The following is a 20,835-nucleotide window of genomic DNA, read 5'->3' as shown; positions in this document are numbered from 1 at the left end:
CTATTGTCTCAGTTATTGAGTAGTTGGCTTTTGCTTGTTTTAAATAGGATCATTATCTGTTTTAAAGCTTAAATTTAGTTTAGCATTAGATGTGTAGTAGGAGCTACAGCATTTAATTGAAACTCTTGTGTGTAGTTAAGATTCTTAAATGCGAATAAAGAACTAAAACAATGAGAAAAAAGTAGCTGAAGAGTCATAGGATGTTATCTGTTATTCTCAACATGATCCATTTTGTCAGTATGTATAGGAATGATATACACTGTCTTATATTTTTAGACTTGGGAAGACCCAGGGCACAATGATAAACATACTGGCTGTTGTGGTGACAATGACCCAATTGATGTGTGTGAAATTGGAAGCAAGGTAATGAAATGTGACATTTTTTTCTTTAGTGTTGAGATATTAATGAAGTATACCAAATTTCATACTTTAAAAAATACTGTGAATAAAATGCATGAATATTAGTGAAATAATGATGTCTCTTTGGTATTAAAGGCTTCTTGCATTTTAAGCATTTGTATATTATAATTTTTACATTTAAATCTAGTCTGGAAAAAAATGTGTCTATGTATGTATGATTGAACATATATCTAGAAGAACTGGACATGTTCTGCATTGCTTTAGAAGATGGATAATTAGTCAATAGGTGAAAGGTACCAGGAGGGAAATTCCCTCTCAAAACATGGCAAATCTTGCCTAACAATTTAGAATGATCAGTAAATTGACCCGAACCAAATAACCTCATGAGTTGGAGATCCATGGTAGTAACTCCTCCATCAAGTAGGGTTGTTCTAAGATTCTGATTATAGTTATTTCTTTATGTCTCTCTCAGGTGCAGAGAAATAGTAAACAACTAAAAACAAAGTTATCATTTTGTTTTTTAAGTCATAAAGTTTTTGAGTCATCGTATGACTTGCTTAACTCATGACTTTTATAAAATAAAAGGTAAAGCATATTAAGATACGTATTTGAGACTATGGAGGACTTATTCTTCAGTATAATCAATGACAGTGCAAAAAACATTGATTACCCTGAGCTATGTACTGGTTTCCCTATGACCTAGAAGAAAATAGGACCTATAAGTCCTGTTTTCAACTTTAATAGGACTGATGAAACATTTACTCATTTAGGTTTTTAAAATTTGCTTAAAGGAACAATCTTCAGGTAAATTCTCAAGAACTTGGCCTCTTTCTTATTTCCTGTTAGCCAAGTAAAACTGTCTTCTAGAGTGTGGTTCTGTAATGTTGTCCTGACTTTGGCTATTGACTCTCAGGTATGTGCAAGAGGTGAAATAATTGGCGTGAAAGTTCTAGGCATATTGGCTATGATTGACGAAGGGGAAACCGACTGGAAAGTCATTGCCATTAATGTGGATGATCCTGATGCAGCCAATTATAATGGTAAGAAAATTTGAAAAGTCTGAAGTCTTTCTAATTAATTCATAAGCACCACCATACTTAACCTATAATGACAGAATTGTAAGCCCTTACCTTCAAACTGTTAAAGGATGGAGGAACAAAGCACTGGACAAGCATTATTTCTATGACTGCACTTGTAATTAACTAAGTAAACTTTCTCCTTCATTCCAGGAAAGAAAAAATCTGGTAGGTTCTTACTGTTTTTTTGGTCCTTTCCTTCCCCACATACCAGCACTCAGTTGGTATGTTTATTTATTTTAAAACATTTAATTGAGATATTCACATATCAAAGAGTCACCATTGTAAAATGTACAATTCAGTGGTTTTTAGTATATTCACTAAGTTGTACAACCATCACCACTCTCTAATTGCAGAACATTTCATCAGCCCAGAGGAAATCCTGTATCCATGGGCAATCACTCCCTGTCCCCCTTCCCTCAGTCCCTGATGACTGCAGATCTACTTTGTGCCTATGGATTTGCCTATGCTGTTATTTCATGTAAATGGCATCATATAGGTGGCCTCTGTGTCTGGTTTATTTCACTTAGCGAAGTAAGTGTCTTCAGGATTCATCCGTATTGTAGTATGTATCAGCACTTCATTCCCTTTTTTTTTTTTTTTGGTGGTAAATTTTACATAACATAAAATTCACCATTTTAATTAAAGTGTGAAATTCAGTGGCATTTCATTCATTCACAAGGTTGTGCAGCCATCACCACTAGTTCAAGTCATTCCCTATTCCCTCCTCCTCTCCAGGCCCTGGCAGCCACTAATCTGCTTTTTGTCTTTATAGCTTTGCCTATTCTACCTATTCTAGGTATCTCATATACATGGACTGGTACAATATATGGATCTTTGTTGTTGCTGTTTCTGGTTTCTTTCACTTAGTATAATGTTTTCTAGGTTTATCCATATTGCATATTGTGGCATCTGTCAGTACTCCTTTTTATGGTTGAATATTATTCCATTGTGTGGATATACTACATTTTGTTTATCCATTCATCAGTTGATGGACATTTGGGTTGTTTTGGCTGTGTAATGCTGCCATGAACATTCCTGTACAAGTTTTTGTGTGGACTTATGTTTTTATTATTGGGTACATACATAGGAGTTGCCAAAGCTAGAACACTTTGAGCAAGAAAATAAAGTAGTATTGTAATATAACCTGGAACATAAAATAAATCTCCATGAGTCTATACTGACAAATAAATGATTGAATAAATAGACAAATGAGGAAGAATAGACAAATCTCAAAGCAGAAGAATTCCAAATAATTTATGCAGATACTCCATTCTCAAGGAGGTCCTTAATTGTGAGTTGTGCCTGGTGACTTCCTTCCAAAGAGTACAGTGTGGGTAAGGGAGAGGAGAGGATGACTTTAGAGCAGAGAAACTTGACAAACACTGCCTCAGCCAGGTGATGGAGGTCAATGTCAGCAGTGATAAGAGTCACCTTGAGAGCATGTTCCCTCAAAATGATGTGATGTATATTTGCATCTGTGTTAATTCATTGAAGAAGGACTGGAAGAATGCCAATCCTTTAATGTTTCGTTTCAATTTTGAAAGGTGAGAGTGCATTCACACCATCTGTTCACTACTTGGTAGTACGGCTCTGTTCTGTTGGTCCGTGTGTGCATTTCCAACGTGCTTCTTATGCAAGAGAACTTGGCATGCTGTGGCCACAATTAGTGAAGCCAAGCCCATCACTCTGTCAGCACTCATTTACTAAGGCTTTATTTTCCTGCAGTTCAGGTTATTAGAACCCTGAAAACTTTCTCGGGGTGGCTGGTCCCATGGCGCAAGTAGTATGCAGCTTTCCCTAATGTCAACCTAAGGCAGTGTCTATTGTCCATCCTATAGCTTGCCCCTGTGCATCTCTTCCATTTGCTGTCCCTGAGTTGTATTTATATAACGAAATTTAAACTTCAGTGTTTTCCTGAGTTCTGTGAACCATTTTAGCAAATTAGGGGACCTGGGGAGAGGATTGTAGAAACCCCTAATTTATAGCTGATAGTCAAAAGTACAGGAGGCATCTGAAGTGGGGCAGTCTTGTGAGACTGAGCCCCTAACCTTTGAGATCTGATGCTAACTCCAGGTAGATAGTATCAGAATCACAGTGAATTACTGAGCACTCAGTTGGTGTCTGAATAATTGGAGAATTAGTTTCTGTTATTGGAAAACATCAACATTTGCATGTTGGATTTCTGGATTTCCAAATTATTTCTATATCAGGTGACACATTTCATGTAAATTATAAGTTCTTTGAAATTTACTAGTGCTTAAACATTTCCCAGTGCATTCTGTAAAGTTTCCATACTTTTAGTGATATTATGATAATAGAATGCATGCTATTCTTTATGCAGATTATAAATTGGATTGAAGCGGCCGGGCGCGGTGGCTCACGCCTGTAATCCCAGCACTTTGGGAGGCCGAGGCAGGCGAATCATGAGGTCAGGAGATCGAGACCGTCCTAGCTAACACGAAACCCCATCTCTACTAAAAATACAAAAAAATTAGCCAGGCATGGTGGTGGGCACCTGTAGTCCCAGTTACTCAGGAGGCTGAGGCAGGAGAATGGCGTGAACCCGGGAGGCAGAGCTTGCAGTGAGCCGAGATTGCGCCACTGCACTCCAGCCTGGGAGACAGAGCGAGACTCCTTCTCAAAAAAAAAAAATAAATTGGAGTGAAGCAATGTTATCTTATACAAATATAAATAAGCTTTTGTTATTGTTGAATGTATTTCTCTTCCTCATAATACTTTTCCTAACTGACTTTTTAGGATGTGTATCTCTGTTTGCTTGCATTGAGCAGGAGTTTGTTATTTGAAGTGCAGTTTGATAACATTGAGGCTAGCCATTGTTGATGGCTATACAGAAACTTAAAATTTTTAAAGCAGTGCACTTTTCTGTCAGCCAGAACTAAAGTATTGTTATGTACAGTGCCTGTACTATCCAGCAAAGTCTAGTCACATTTAATACGTAACCCATCAATGGATATCAATCTAATCTATTTTTCTTATCTTTTAGTATGTAATAGTGTTGTGATCCTCTGACATAGCCTCTGCCTCTGGACCAGGGATAGTACCTCAAGCCTGTAATCCCAGTGCTTTGGGAAGCCAAGGCAGGAGGATTGCTTGAGCCCAGGAGTTTGAGACCAGCCTGGGCAACATGACGAGACCCCATTTCTACAAAAAATTTAAAAATTAGCTGGGCGTGTGCATGCTTATAGTCCCAGCTACTCAGGAGGCTGAGGTGAGAGGATCGCTGAACTGTGGAGGTCAAGGCTGCAGTGAGCCTTGTTCGGGCCACTGCATTCCAGCGTGGGTGACAGAGCGAGACCTTGTCTCTGAAAAAAAAAAAAAGATAACCTCTGTCTTTTTCAGTATCTTGTACACTTCTCATAGGAATTATCTACATTTGCCAAACTGGTTGTTTCATTATGTAGCCACCAGCTGTTTGCCCTTACCTAACAGAGATTACTATTGTACTGATTGTTCTCTGTACTTAGTGTCAGAGCTATTCAGAGATACTAGATGATTTTCTTTCAATGTATATGTGTATGGCTTCTCTTCTCAACAAGGGGCTTCGCTCCAATGTTATCTTGAACTTCCGTGATAAGTCATTCCACAGCTCTTTCAAAATAAGTACTTGGAATTTTTGTTGAGTGTATAATTATTTGTGCATCTTGAAATCTGCTTATTCTCTTCTTTCTTTTTAAAAAAATCATTCTCACTGTCATCTTATGCTTCTTCTCTTCTTAGATATCAATGATGTCAAACGGCTGAAACCTGGCTACTTAGAAGCTACTGTGGACTGGTTTAGAAGGTATAAGGTTCCTGATGGAAAACCAGAAAATGAGTTTGCGTTTAATGCAGAATTTAAAGATAAGGTAATATGTCATTCAGAACTGTAGCTTTAGGCTCATTTGTATTGAGACTCATAATTTAACCATATTGTTACCATCTAAAGATTCACAAAACAGAAGTCTGGAAACATAACACAGTCTTGGTGTTTATTTATTCACTTTAATATTCTCTTCCATTTTTAGAATAAGGAAATGATTCAGAAGAGACAAAGTATCAGGCTTTGGGGAAATGTTGATAATAGGAAAATAATACCTTTTTATCATTGTAATGCAAACCTCTTCAAATTATAGGACTTTGCCATTGATATTATTAAAAGCACTCATGACCATTGGAAAGCATTAGTGACTAAGAAAACGAATGGAAAAGGAATCAGTTGGTAAGTGTAAACACTTTGCATGTTTAACACACAAAGCAGACCAGCTTGCAGAAAAGGTTTTAATAATCATAAGACACTGTACTGTTACTTTCACTTAGAAAAGAGATACAAGGCTGGGTGCGGTGGCTCACACCTGTCATTCCAGCACTTTGGGAAGCCAAGGTGGATGGATTGCTTGAGCCCAGGAGTTGAAGACCAGCCTGGACAACATGGAAAAACCCTGTCTCTACAAAAAGTACAAAAATTAGCTGGGCATGGTGGTACATACCTGTAGTCCTAGCTACCTGGGAGGCTGAGTTGGGAGGATCACCTGAGCCTGGGGAGGTTGAAGCTGCAGTGAGCCGTGATCGTACCACTGTACTCCAGCCTGGGCGACAGAGCGAGACTCGGTCTCAAAAAAAAAAAAAAAAGAGTACGAGAAACAGCCAATGTACAAAAATAATTCTCCCAGAAATCTTCTATTCTGTGTCAGGATAATGTCCTATAAAATGAAAACATTGTCCTTCCAACAAACAGAAGAAAAATGGAGAAGAGTTATATGTGTAAAAATGTACAGTCCTAAGAGTTGGCATTTGTCTGGGTGCTATATGGCTCATTCCTGTAATTCCAGCACTTTAGGAGGCTGAGGCAGGAGGATCACTTGAACTCAGGAATTGGAGACTGGTGGGGGCAACATAGTGAGACCTCATCTCTACTAAAAATTAAAAAAAAATTAGCCAGGCATGGTGGCGCTTGCCTGTAGCAAGGCTGAGGTGGGAAGATCACTTGAGCCTTGGAGATCAAGGCTGCAGTGAGCTGTGATTGCCCCACTGCACTCCAACTGGGGCACCTGAGCAAGACCCTGTCTCAAAAGAAAAAAAAAAGGAAAAAGATTTGGCTTTTAAGTTAACTTCTCTATTTTTTCGTATCTTACGATTTCTATGAAAATGGTCTTAATGTATGTTAAATAACAGGTCAGCAAAGATGATTCATTTTTCATTTTGATGGTGTATTTCTTTGTTGTTGTTGTTTTCTGAGACAGAGTCTTGCTCTTGTTGCCCAGGCTGGAGTGCAATGGCATGATCTCGGCTCATTGCAACCTCCGCTTCCCGGATTCAAGAGATTCTCCTGCCTCAGCCTCCTGAGTAGCTGGGATTACAGGCGCATGCCACCACGCCCGGCTAATTTTTGTATTTTTAGTAGAGACGGGGTTTTGCCGTGTTAACCAGGCTGGTCTCGAACCTCTGACTCATGATCTGCCCGCCTCGGCCTCCCAAAGTGGTGGGATTACAGGCGTGAGCCACCACACCCGGCCTTGATGGAATATTTCTAATTGGGCACATATTATATTAGTACTATAATGACTAATATATAGGAAAACTTGAACTACGGATAAACAAAAATAAAATGTATTTTTAAAACATGATCCATATTTTAGACTAAAGTGGGCTAAAAAAACCCAAAAAACATATTAGGATTGTATTATATACACGACTTGTCTTACGATTTTTAAAATTTAACACTATGTAATAAGCATTTCCTCATGTCATAAAAGATATAATTTTTTTTTTAGAGACAGGGTCTCTCGCCCAGGCTGAAGTGCAGTGTTACTATAATAGCTCACTGTAACCTCAAAGAAGTGATCCTTCTGTCTCAGCCTGCCAAGTAGCTGGGTACTACAGGCACGCATCACCACTCCCAGATGATTTTTAAATTTGTTGTAGAGACAGTGTCTTGCTGTGTTGTCCAGGCTGATCTTGACCCCCTGGCTTTAAGTGATCCTCTCACACCTCAGCCTCCAAAAGTGCTTAGACTACAGATGCGAGCCACCATGCCTAGTCTAGAAATATCATATTTTAATAATATAATATTCCATCTCTGTATAATATGTTTTATGGATAAACCTTTTTATTTTTAAATCCCTGCAAAGAAGGATAAACTATTTTTAATCATTTCTTATTATTGGACATTTTGGTTACTTCCAATTTTTCACCACTATTAATAGTGAAATAGTATATGGTAAACACCTTTGTAAATTACCGTTTCAGTATTGGATTGGGTTCTTAGAGGTGGAATTTCTCTATCAAGACCTATGAGCTTTTTAAAAGGTTTTGGATACATTTTACAGAAATATTTTTCAGAAAGATTGAACCAGGACTCCTGCCAGAAGTGTCTGTTTCAGATGTCTCACCAACACTACAGGAACTGGGTTTTTTTTTGTTTCATTATTTTTTCCAATTAAGAAAGATATGTTTCTCAATTCACATTTCTTAGCTATTTCAGTGAGAATTACAAAGCATTCAATCTCAGTTTCTTTCGTCCTCTCCTCCCCTCCCCTCCCCTCCCCTCCCCTCCCCTCCTCTCCTCTCCTCTCCTCCTTATTGCAACGCAGTCTTGCTCTGTCACCAGGCTGGAGTGCAGTGGCGCGATCTCAGCTGACTGAAATCTCCGCCTTCCAGATTCAAGCGATTCTCCTGCCTCAGCCTCCCGAGTAGCTGGGACTACAGGCATGCGCCACCATGCCCGGCTAATTTTTGTATTTTTAGTAGAGATGGGGTTTCACCGTGTTGGCCAGGATGGTCTCGATCTCTTGACCTCATGATCCGCCTGCCTCAGCCTCCCAAAGTGCTGGAATTACAGGCATGAGCCACCACACCTAGCCCAATCTCAGTTTCTTAAATCCGAACTTGTTAAGATATTTGAATAAAATTGATCACAAGAATAGCTATGCCTTGCCAAAATACATAATTAGAATGTTAAATGTAGGTGAAAAAGCTTTCGACTAAACTAAACTTGAATATCACCTGGTCAACCACTTTCAACTCATTTTTTAACTCTTAAGAGATAATTTTTGTTATTTTGTCTTATGACTACTTTTGTTTTATTTAATAGCATGAATACAACTTTGTCTGAGAGCCCCTTCAAGTGTGATCCTGATGCTGCCAGAGCCATTGTGGATGCTGTATGTAAAAGTTTCCTTAAAAAAAAAACAAGCCTGGTTGCTAAAAACTATGATGCTAAATGGGGAGAGGAAGTACTTGTTTCGACAAATACTTGAGTGCCTTTTGTATGCATGTTACTGTGTGGAGTCTTGAAATTAGAAACCATGAACACATGCAAGTGGCCATTTGACTGAGGGAGAAGCTGAGGGAGTGATTCTAATCAATCATAAGTTGGACAGATAGCATGGTAGTAAGATTTGTAAAAATCAGAATGGTTCCAGAATGTACCAAGTAACCTGTGTGCCTATGACCCATCATAAGCCATTTCCGCAAAAGAATCAATGGGAATTTACTTGACTTGGTTCTAGCAAGGACTGAGGAAGGTATCAAGTTTTAGGTACCATTGCAGGAATGATTCATAATCTAAGAAAGGCTTTCATGTGAGGTAGTAAAAGCACCCGTCAAAGCAATAATTTTGTTTTTGTACTATTTTTAATTATTTGGTTTGGATTAACCAAAAAATTGAACGAGATCATCTTAAATTATTTTCATTTATAATATTAAATAAGGAAAACAAAAGAAAATGAGGTCTGACTTTTTTACTGCCTTGTAAATGGGGTAGAACAAGGAAAAAAGGACAATTTAATGATGAAACCAGTACATTTAGTTTTATCTTTATTTATGTATGAATCCCGACAAAGTTGAGATAAATAAGAAAAATTATAAGGGAAAAGCCAGTGGTTAACTATTATAATTTTTCAGTGAGAACACTGCCCATATTTTATAAATATGTGTGTATATATAAAATTGTTATATATGCATAAATCAGTTTTTATTATTTCAAAAAACATTCTTATTATTCTGCATGTCATAAAAAGTCAAGAGGCTTGAATTTTTTTTTTTTTTTTTGAGACAAGTCTCGCTCTGTTGCCCAGACTGGAGTGCAGTGGCGCAATCTCAGCTTACTGCAACCTCCGCCTCCCAGGTTCAAGCGGTTCTCTGCCTCAGCCTCCCGAGCAGCTGGGATTACAGGTGCCCGCCACCATGCCCAGCTTTTATTTTTAGTAGAGACGGGGTTTCACCATCTTGGCCAGGCTGGTCTTGAACTCCTGACCTTGTGATCCACCCACTTCAGCCTCCCGAAGTGTTGGGATTATGGGCATGAGCCACTGCACTGTCCAAGAGGCTTGAATTTGTTAGCATCTCAGCAGTAGAGCAAACCTTCTATTGTTCCTATATATTATAAATTACGTTTAGATCCTAAAATTTGGGATAGTCTTCAGATTCTCTTAAATTTTTGTCAGTATACCTTTTTAGCTTTTTAAAAAATGAGATTAGACTAATAGATTTTAATATTTTATATTTTAGTTACCACCACCCTGTGAATCTGCCTGCACAGTACCAACAGACGGTAAGATTTCTATTCCAGTAAAATTTCATTAAACATTACACAGTTATGGAAAAATTATGTTACTTTTATTTTTAGTTGACAAATGATAATTAAATATATTTATGGGTACAGTGTGATGTTTTGATATATGTTTACAATGTGGAATGATTAAATCTGGCTAATTACGAAATCATTACCTCACATACTTAATCATTATTTGTTGTGTGGTAAAAACATTTGAAATCTACTCTTAGCAATTTTGAAATAGATGTTACAGTCACCATCCTGTGCAATAGATCACTAAAGCTTATTCCTTTTGTCTAACTAAAACTTGGTACCCTTTGACCATCGCCTGCCCTTTCCCCATCCTTCAGCTCCTGGCAACCACCATTCTACTCTCTACCTCTATGAATTTACCTTTTTTATATTGCACATATAAATGAGATCATGTGGTATTTGTCTTTCTGTACCTGGCTTGTTTTTTGTTTTTTGACACAGAGTCACCCAGGCTGTCACTCTGTCACCCAGGCTGGAGTGCAGGGGCACAATCACAGCTCATTGTACCCGTAACCCCCCCAAGTTAAAGTGATTCTCCCATCTCAGCCTCCCAAATAGCTGGGACTGCAGACATGTGCCACCATACCTGTCTAATTTTTTTATAATTTGTAGAGATAGAGTTTCACCATGTTGCCCAAGCTGGTCTCAAACCAGGTCTCGAACCAGGCTGGTCTTGAACACTAATCAGGCCGGGTTTCGCCATGTCACCCAGGCTGGCGATCCACCTACCTTGTCCTCCCAAAGTGCTAGGATTACAGGCGTGAGCCACTGCACGCAGCCACGTACATATTTTTAACATACACAGGAAGAGAGGGAAGAAGGGTGAGAAGAGAAGCATTTTTAGAATTCTGTAGTGTACGTGGGAAGGAAGATGAGCTGCTACATACCACCTTTAGTGCCACACTGTATCACAGTGGTTTCCAAACCATGACCCATTGTGCCCCTCTGAGTTCCATGGAGGTGCCCGCTGGACACTGGAGGGGACCCTGAGTGGGCTGATCTCCACATTCCCACCTGGCCACAGGCTGCTTCACCCAGAAAACAGTTCTCTCCTCCTTAGATGTCAGAATTCTCTGTAAGATTTTTCTGGTAAGAAAATGATTCTGCCACTTAAAAAAACAAGTTTGAAGGCTGGGTGTGGTGGCTCACACCTGTCATCCCAGCACTTTGGGAGGCTGAGGCGGGCGGATCACTTGAGCCCAGGAGTTCGAGACCAGCCTGGCCAACATGGAGAAACCATGTCTCTACAAAAAAAAAATACAAAAATTTGCTAGATGTGGTGGCACACGTCTGTAATACCAGCTGCTGGGGAGACTGAGGCACGAGAATTGCTTGAACCTGGAAGATGGAGGTTGCAGTGAGCCATGATTGCTGCCACTGCACTGCAATCTGGGCAAGAGAGTGAGACCCTGTCTCGAAATTAAAAAAAAAAGTTTGAAAATCACACTATGCAATTAGCATGAAGTGTAAGGAAGCCCAAAAGAAAACACCTGCATTTGCTGTAGAGAAATTTTGTATGTATGCCTGTTAATTTTCAGGTAATTCATAGTAGGATTCATTAAAGCAAGTATATTAGTCTTTGTTATATGTTAGGTGTATTTTTGATTCTCAACAGGAATTCTAATTTGTTTTTCTTTTCTCTGAATACAGTGGATAAGTGGTTCCATCACCAGAAAAACTAATGAGATTTCTCTGGAATACAAGCTGATATTGCTACATCGTGTTCATCTGGATGTATTAGAAGTAAAAGTAGTAGCTTTTCAAAGCTTTAAATTTGTAGAACTCATCTAACTAAAGTAAATTCTGCTGTGACTAATCCAATATACTCAGAATGTTATCCATCTAAAGCATTTTTCATATCTCAACTAAGATAACTTTTAGCACATGCTTAAATATCAAAGCAGTTGTCATTTGGAAGTCACTTGTGAATAGATGTGCAAGGGGAGCACATATTGGATGTATATGTTACCATATGTTAGGAAATAAAATTATTTTGCTGAAACTTGGCTTAGGATATTTTTATTTTAATCTGAAGCCAACATTAAGTAGGTATGGGTATTTTTTGGTGTTTGTTTTCTGTTGATAGTCTTATAATTCAAATTTATAATTATTAGACGAAGAAATCGCTTATATTTATAGTACTCTTGATACTATGCTCTAGTACATAAGTCCTAGCATACCATTCTAAAGCAAAAGTTTTTAAATTTATATCATATTAGCAGAAAGCACAATGTTGCTCACCCTTTGAAGTTATATATTAATAGTTATTTTTTTACTTCTTCAGTCAACTAATTGGACGCTTAAGTCATTTATATTATATTCTAAGTTATCAGCTGAACAAACCAGTTTGAATGCCAGCCCATCTTCTTACTAGCTCTGTAATCTTAAGTCAGTTTACCAACCACTCAACTTCAGTTCCTTCATCTGTGAAACAGACATTATTCATGTAATGGCATGTAGTATGCATTCAGATTCTTTTTTTTTTTTTTGAAACAGGGTCTCACTGTCGCCCAGGCTGGAGTGCAGTGGTGTGATCTCGGCCCACTTCAACCTCTGCCTCCTGGGTTCAAGTGATTCTCCTGCCTCAGCCTCCCAAGTAGCTGGGAGTACAGGCATGCACCACAATGCCTGACTAATTCTGGTATTTTTAGTAGAGACGGGGTTCACCACGTTGGCCGGGCTGCTCTCGAACTCCTGTCCTCAAGTGATCCACCCACCTCAGCCTCCCAAAGTGCTGGGATTAGAGGTGTGAGCCACTGTGCCCAGCCCATTCAGATTTTTTTAATGAAAATTTTATTGAGATGAATATAGATTCACATGTAGTTCTAAAAAAGTAATTCAGAGATAATTCAAATAATTCTGTATACCTTACCCTGTTTCTCCTAAAAGTAAGATTTTGTAAAACTATAGTATAACAACCAGGACATTGACTTTGATATAATCCACCAATCATATACAGACTCCAAATCCACCAATCATATTCAGACTTCCTAGTTTCACTGTATTAATGAATATTTGTATGATGTATTCTATATAATTTATAATTCTATAGTGTAATCACCTAGGTAAGTTTATGTATCCTATAAGATATTGAACAGTTTCAACACCACAAGATCTCTCGTGTTGCCCTTTTATAATCACACCCACCTCCCCCCTGTCTTCTGCACACCACCATCCGTAACCCCTGGCAACCACTAATCTGTCCTCCATTTTTCTATGATTTTGTCATTTCAAGAATATTATATAAATGGAATCATACAGTATGTAACCTTTCAGGATTGGCTTTTCACTCAGTGTAATTCCCCGGTATTCCTTCAAGTTGCCACATATATCAATGTTTCATTCTTTTTATTCATTCCTTTTTATTGCTGAGTACTTTCCATGATATGTTTTGTTTTACCTGTTGAAGGACATCTGGGCTGATCCAGTGTTTGGCTATTACAGATACAGCTGCAATGAACATATTTGTACATGTTTTCACGTCAACATAAAACATTTTCATTTCTCTCAGATCTCTAGCAGTGTAATTGCTGAGTCACATGATAGATGCATGTTTTATTAGAAGGTACCAAATTTTCTAGAGTTATGGTCACATTTTACATTCCCAACAGCAATGTTGGAGTGATTCAATTTTTCCACATCCTTGCCAGCATTTGGTTTGCCTTTTTTTTTTTTTTTTTGAGACAGGGTCTCACTGTCACCCAGGCTGGAATGCAGTGGCACAATCTTGGCTTACTGCAACCTCCACCTCCCAGGCTCAAGCAATCCTCCTGCCTCAGTTTCCCAAGTAGCTGGGAATACAGTTGTGTGCCATAATGCCCAGCTAATTTTTGTAGAGATGAGGTTTCACCATGTTGCCCAGGCTGGTCTCGAACTCCTGGGCTCAAGTGACCCGCCCGCCTCGGCCTTCCAAAGTGCTGCTGGAATTACAAGTGTGAGCTGCCCTGCCTGGCCTACTATATTTTATTTTAGCCATTCTGTTGGGTGTGTAGTAGTATCTCATGGTAGTTTTAATTTGCATTTCTCTAATAGCTAATGATGTTAAACATCTTTTCATGTGCTTGTTTGCCACCTGTATATCCTGTTTGGTGAAATGTCTGTTCATGTCATTTACTCATTTTAAAATTGTTTAGTTTCATTTTTAATGTTAAGTTTTGGAGTCCTTCAGAGTTCAGATATTTGGTTTGCAAACATTTTTTTCCCAGTTGGCAACTTGTTCTTTCATTTTTTTCACATACTCTTTCACAGAGCAAAATCTTTTAATTTTTAAAAAGACCAACTTACCACATTTTCCTTTTATGGTCATTCTTTAGGTATCAAGTTAGAACTTTTCCTAGCCCTAGATCACAATATTTTCTCCTGTGTTTTTCTCTAAAAGTTTTATAGCTTACATTTAAGCCTATGATTCATTTTGTGTTTATTTTTATATAAGGTTTATGGTTTAGGTATGGGTTCATTTTTTCCTATGGATGTCCGGTTGCTCCAACGCCATTTTTTTGAAAGCTTATTCTTCCATTGAATTGTTTTGCACGCTTGTCAAATATCCATTGAGCATATCTGTGTGGGCCTATTTCTGGGTCCTCTGTTACATTCCATTGATCTGTATGTCTGACCGTCTGCCGATACCACACTCTCTTGATGACTATAGTTACATGGTAAGCCTTAAAATCAAATAGATTCTTCCCACTTTATTCTTCTTTGTCAAGATTGTATAACTAGGGCCTGTGCATCTTCATATGTATTTTAGAATAAGTTTTGGCTATGTCTATTGTCTATGCCTGTAAAAAATCGTACTGGGATTTTAGTAGGCATTGCATTAAATCTATAGATCAATTCTAGTCATGTGTTTAGACATCTCCTAATGTGTTTCTGTTACTAATTTCTAGTTTGGCTCCATTGTGGTCAGAGAACATGCTGTCATTTTGATTCTTTTATTGAGGTTGTTTGATGGTCTGTCCAGAGTGTTTCATGGGTGCGTGTGTTTTGTTATTGTTGGGTGGAGTGTTCTGTTTATGTCAGTGAGATCCTGTTGGTTTATGTATTGTTCTGATCTTCTATACCCTTGCTGATTTTCTCTCTAGTAGTTCTATCAATTACTGAAATGGAGGTTTTGAATTCCCTGATTATAACCATAGAGGCCTTTGAACTTTTAGCTCTATCAGTTTTTGTTTAATGTATTTTGAGGCTCTGTTGTTTGGTGAGTACATTTTAGGATCCTATATATTCTGGTGGATTGAACTTTCTGTTATTACATATGTCCCTGTTTGTCACTAGTAATTTTCTTTGCTCTGAAGTCTACTTTATCAGATATTAATATAGCTACTCCTGCATTTTTAAAAAATAACTAATGTTTGTATGGTATATTTTGTTCTATTCTTTTACTTTCAACCTATTTATGTTGAATTTGAAGTGAGTTTCTTATAAGCAGCATAAAGATGTCTTTATTTTTATTTTTATTTTTTAATCCACACTGCCTCCTTTGCCCTAGAAGTACTCACAGCGGCGGGAGACTTCTGGCCTTTTCCTGAGCAGTGCTTCCTTTTAGTCCAACATCTCAGTAAAGCTGCAGAGGTCGCCACTGCACTCTGAGCTTTGCAATGCCTCCCAAAGACCACAAGAAGAAGAAAGATGCCAGAAAGTCAACCAAGAAAAAGACCCAGTGAACAGATCTGGGGCCAAGGCTGAAAAGAAGTAGTCCAAAGGCAAAGTTCGGGACAAGCTCAATAACCTAGTCTTGTTTGACAAAGCTACCTATGACAACCTATAAGGAAGATCCCAACTATAAGCTTATGACCCCAGCTGTGATCTCTGAGAAACTGAAGATTTGAGGTTCCTTGGCCAGGGCAGCCCTTCAGGGGCTTTTTAGGTAATTATGGATGTGTTAGTACTTTATCCTGTGAGATTTGCTCATCATCTTGGATCTGTAGGTTTGTATCTTTCACCAAATTTGAGGGATTTTTAGCCACTTCTTCAAATACTGTTTTTTTTTTGTTTTGAGACAGAGTCTCACTCTGTCATCCAGGCTGGAGTGCAATGGCACAATCTCGGCTCACTGCAGCCTGGTCCTCTGGGTTCAAGTGATCCTCCCACCTCAGCCTCCTGAGTAGCTGGGATTACAGACATGTACTACCACATCTGGCTCATCTTTGTATTTTTAGTAGAGATGGGGTTTCGCCATGTTGGCCAGGCTGGTCTTGAACTCCTGACCTCAGGTGATCAGCCCGACTAGGCCTCCCAAAGTGCTGGGATTACAGTCATGAGCCACCACACCCGGCTTCAAATACTCTTTCTGTCCTACTTTCTTCTCTATTTCTGGGACTCTGATATGAATGTTAGATCTTTTGTTATTGTCCCTTGGGTCAGAAGCTTCTGTTCTTTTTCTTTTTCACCTGGCTGAGTTCTGTTATGTCCTTATGTTCATTGATTCTATCCTCTGTCACCTAACTTCCATTTTGGGGGATTTTCTATTTATTTATTTAGAGACGGAGTTTTGCTCTTGTTGCCCAGGCTGGAGTGCAGTGGTGCGATATCAGCTCACTGCAACTTCCACCTCCAGTGTTCAAGTGATTCTCCTGCCTCAGCCTCTCGAGTAGCTGGGATTACAGGCTTGCGCCACCATGCCCAGCTAATGTTGTATTTTTAGTAGAGACGGGGTTTCTCCACGTTGGTTAGGCTGGTCTCGAACTCCCAACCTCAAGTGATCTGCCCGCCTTGGCCTCCCAAAATGCTGGGATTACAGGTGTGAGCCACCATGCCTGGCCGGGGATTTTCTATTTTTTAATTTGTTTCTACCAAATTTCGAATTGACAGTGCACTTTTAAGACAGTTGCTTTAAAATCCCTATCAGGATTCACCTCAGTGCTGGCATCTGTTGATTGCCCTTTCTCATATGAATTGTGATTTTCTTGGCTCTTAGTATGATGGGTGGTCGTCAATAATATTGGAGACATTTTGTCTATTAGGTTGGGAGACTGTAGGTCCTATTTAAATCTTTCATTTTAGCAGGCAGCACTCTGTTTAGCTTTCGCACATGGGTCTTGGTCTACAGTTGTGGTCTGTGGTTCCAGTGGCGGTTTAATTTTCAGCAGCTTTGCAGGGTTATCTTGGTCTGCATGGTTTATCCAGTGCTACTGGGCTCCTGTTTGTTCCTGCTGGTGCTGCCTGAAGGGGCTCATTGTTGTCTTTCAGTGGTGGAAGGGGGCGTCCCCCAACTGGTCCCCCACCCCTGCTGCCCTAGTGTCTGAATTGGGGAGAGAGTCTTGGGCCACAGAAATTAAGCTTCCTGAAGCTTTAGGCCACTTGCTATAGCTCGGTCTTTCCTTCAGCTCAGCCTGCCCACCTACCTGCCTCTGTAGCTCTTGGTGGAAAAGGTGTCTCAGGGCTTGCAGGGAGGAGAGTCCCTCCCCTGGTTGCCTGATTCTGGCTGGGCTCCCAGTTGATCTCCCTTGCCAGTGGTGTCAGCCTCACCAGAACAAACCCCGTTTGATCAGGGGAGAAATGAGCCTTTTGCTAAGTCAGGAGGCTGGGTGACAGGATGCATGTGCCTTGCTGTGTGCTGCGCCTCTGATCCTAGGGTCCCAAACCAGTTTGCCCTCTTACCACCTTTCAGAGTTCTTTGGTCGTCTCTCTTACCATTTTCAGGGTTTATAGTGTGCTTAGCATGGAGAAGCAGGGAAAAACAGATCTATGCATCTTGTCACCAACATTCAAATTTTTTTTTTTTTTGAGACTCACTGTGTTACCTGGCCTGGGGTACAGTGGCATGACTGCAGCTCACTGCAGCCTCAACCTCCTCAGCTCAATCAATTCTCCTGCTTCAGCCTCCTGAAAAGCTGGGACTACAGACACGTGCCACCACCCCCAGCTATTTTGCATAGAAGTGGGGTTTCACCATGTGGCCCAGGCTGGTCTTGAACTCCTAGCCTTAAGCCATCTGCCTGCCTAAGCCTCCCAAACTGTGTGAGCCACCGCGCCCACGCCACATTTGGATTTTTTTTTTTTTTTTTTTTTTTTGAGATGGAGTTTCATTCTGTCACCCAGGCTGGAGTGCAGTGTTACAATCTTGGCTCACTGCAACCTCTGCCTCCCAGGTTCAAGCAATTCTCCTGCCTCAGCTTCCTGAGTAGCTGGGATTACAGGTGCCTGCCACCACGCCCGGCTAATTTTTGCATTTTTAGTATAGATGGGGTTTCACCATGTTGGCCAGGCTGGTCTCGAACTCCTGACCTTGAGTGATCTGCCAGCCTTGGCCTCCCAAAGCGCTGGGATTACAGGCATGAGCCACCATGCCTGGCCTGGATTTAAATAATGTTTTTCTTATTCCTTTTGTAAGTGCTTCTATTTTTAAATGATGTCTCAGTCATTGTAATATGTGATTTATAAAATGATTCAATTTTGTAGGGGTAAGAAGTCAGTTTTCTAATGACGATTATACAGTGTGAGAGACCTCACATGTATTGGCCTCCTAGATAGGAATTACCCATATTATGAAAAGGAAAGAGGATGGAATAGTACAGGAGGAAATATTAGCAATAGTTCTGTGCAAGATCCTCTGCAGAAAGCTGTCACTCCTCTGTTAAAAGCAAGGAAATGTATAATACTTGTGTATTTGTTTGCTAGTGCTGCCATAACAAAGTGGCAAACAATGCATTAAACAACAGAAATGTATTGTCTCATAGTTCTGAAGGCTAGAAGTCAGAGAGCAAGGTGCTGACAGGGCCGTATTCCCTCTGAAGGGACTGGGGAAGGGTCTGTTCCAGGCCTCTCGTACCTTCTGGTGGTTCCTGGATTGTGGCAGCAGAACTCCAGTCTTCACATGGTATTTCACTGTGTGCCTGTTTGTGTCTAAATTTCCCTTTTTTATAAGGACACCAGAAATACTGGATTAGGGGTCCATCCTATTCCAGCATGACCTTATCTATTTTATTATATTTTATTTTTAAAATTTTATTTATTTATTTATTTTTTGAGACAGCGTCTTACTCTGTGGCCCAGGCTGGTGTGCAGTGGTGCAAGCTCGGCTCACTGCAACCTCCGCCTCCCGGATTCAAGCGATTCTCCTGTCTCAGCCTCCCAAGTAGCTGGGATTACAGGCACCCACCACCATGCCCTGCTAATTTTTTAATTTTTAGTAGATACGGGGTTTCATCATATTGGCCAGGCTGGTCTTGAACTCCTGGGCTCAGGTGATCCACCCACCTCGGCCTCCCAAAGTGCTGGGATTACAGGTGTGAGCTTATCTTAACTAATTACATCTGCAATGACACTGTTTCCAAACAAGGGTCACATTCTTATTCCTTTTATAAGTGCTTCTATTTTTAAACAATGCCTCAGTCATTGTAATGTGTAGTATATAAGTGATTTATTTTTGTTGGAGTAAGAAATTTGTTTTCCAAACCAAACATTGTATGTTCTCACTCGTAAGTGGGAGCTAAGCTATGAGGATGCAAAAGCATAAGAATGACACAACAGGCTTTGGGAACTCAGGGAGTAAAGAGTGGGAGGGGGTTGAGGGATAAAAGACAACAAATTGGGTGCAGTGTACACTGCTCGGGCAATGGGTGCACCAAAATCTCACAAATCACCACTTAAGAACTTATTCATGTAACCAAACACCACCTTTTCCCCAATAACCTATGGAAATAAAGATTTTTTTAAAAAATTTCATAATACAATTGCAAGTATTAATAGCAGAATAGACCAAGCTGAGGAAAGAATCTCAGAGCCTGAAGACTGGTTCTCCAAATTCACTCAGTCAGACAAAAATGAAAAAAATAAAAACGAATGAACAGCGGGGCACGGTGGCTCACACCTGTAATCCCAGCACTTTGGGAGGCTGAGGTGGGCAGATCACGAGGTCAAGAGATCAAGACCATCCTGGCCAACATGGTGAAACCCCATCTCTACTAAAAATACAAAAATTAGCTGGATGTGGTGGTGTGCGCCTGTAGTCCCAGCTACTCAGGAGGCTGAAGCAGGAGAATTGCTTGAACCCGGGAGGCGGAGGTTGCAGTGAGCCGAGATCACACCACTGCACTCCAGCCTGGGCAACAGAGCGAGACTCCATCTCAAAAAAAAAAAAAAAAAAAAAAAAAAAGGAATGAACACAACCTCTGAGAAATATGAGATTTTGTAAAGAGACCAAATCTATGACTCATTGGCATCCCTGAAAGAGAGGGTGAGAAAGGAAGCAACTTGGAAAACATTTGAGGATATCGTCTACAAAAATTTCCCCAACCTCCCTAGAGAGGCCAACATTCAAACTCAGGAAATGCAAAGAATCCTTGTGAGATACTATACAAGACCATCCCCAAAACACATAGTCCTCAGATTCTCCAAGTTCTCAGATTCTCCAAGGTTGACATGAAAGAAAAAATATTAAAGGCAGCTAGAGAGAAGGGGAAGGTTGCCTACAAAGGGAACCTCAACAGGCTAACTGAACTTTTCAGCAGAAACCCTACAAGGCAGAAGAGATTGGGGACCTATATTCAGCATCCTTAAAGACAAGAAATTCGTTTTCCAAAAGAGGGTCATAGGCTGGGTGCGGTGGTTCATGCCTGTCATCCCAGCACTTTGGGAGGCTGAGACGGGCAGATCACCTGAGGTCAGGAGTTCGAGACCACCCTGACCAACATGGTGAAACCCTGTTTCTACTAAAAATACAAAAAGATTAGCCGGGCATGTGGCTGGCGCCCGTAATCCCAGCTACTCGGGAGACTGAGGCAAGAGAATCGCTTGCACCTGGGAGGTGGAGTTTGCAGTGAGCTGAGATATCGCCATTGCACTCCAGCCTGGGTGACAACAGCGAGA

The 20,835-nt window shown here is 40.1% G+C and overlaps 1 protein-coding gene and 1 pseudogene across 1 annotated transcript in view; both read left to right on the top strand.

Annotated features, from left to right (window-relative positions):
- PPA1 (inorganic pyrophosphatase 1) overlaps nt 1-12,028 on the top strand; it is a 30,595-nt gene extending 18,567 nt beyond the window's left edge. Inside the window, exons 5-11 of the mRNA NM_021129.4 lie at nt 277-363; nt 1,274-1,400; nt 5,178-5,305; nt 5,573-5,658; nt 8,530-8,599; nt 9,948-9,990; nt 11,677-12,028. Of these exons, the coding sequence (NP_066952.1) occupies nt 277-363; nt 1,274-1,400; nt 5,178-5,305; nt 5,573-5,658; nt 8,530-8,599; nt 9,948-9,990; nt 11,677-11,708 (573 nt within the window). The 3' untranslated portion in view covers nt 11,709-12,028. The remainder of the gene's footprint in view (nt 1-276; nt 364-1,273; nt 1,401-5,177; nt 5,306-5,572; nt 5,659-8,529; nt 8,600-9,947; nt 9,991-11,676) is intronic.
- On the top strand, nt 15,565-15,900 carry RPS25P9 (ribosomal protein S25 pseudogene 9; annotated as a pseudogene).

The sequence above is a fragment of the Homo sapiens genome, chromosome 10 (assembly GCF_000001405.40).
Source record: "Homo sapiens chromosome 10, GRCh38.p14 Primary Assembly".
NCBI lineage: Eukaryota > Metazoa > Chordata > Mammalia > Primates > Hominidae > Homo > Homo sapiens.
Note: the sequence above shows the minus strand (reverse complement) of the source record. Positions and strands in the feature narration are given on the sequence as shown.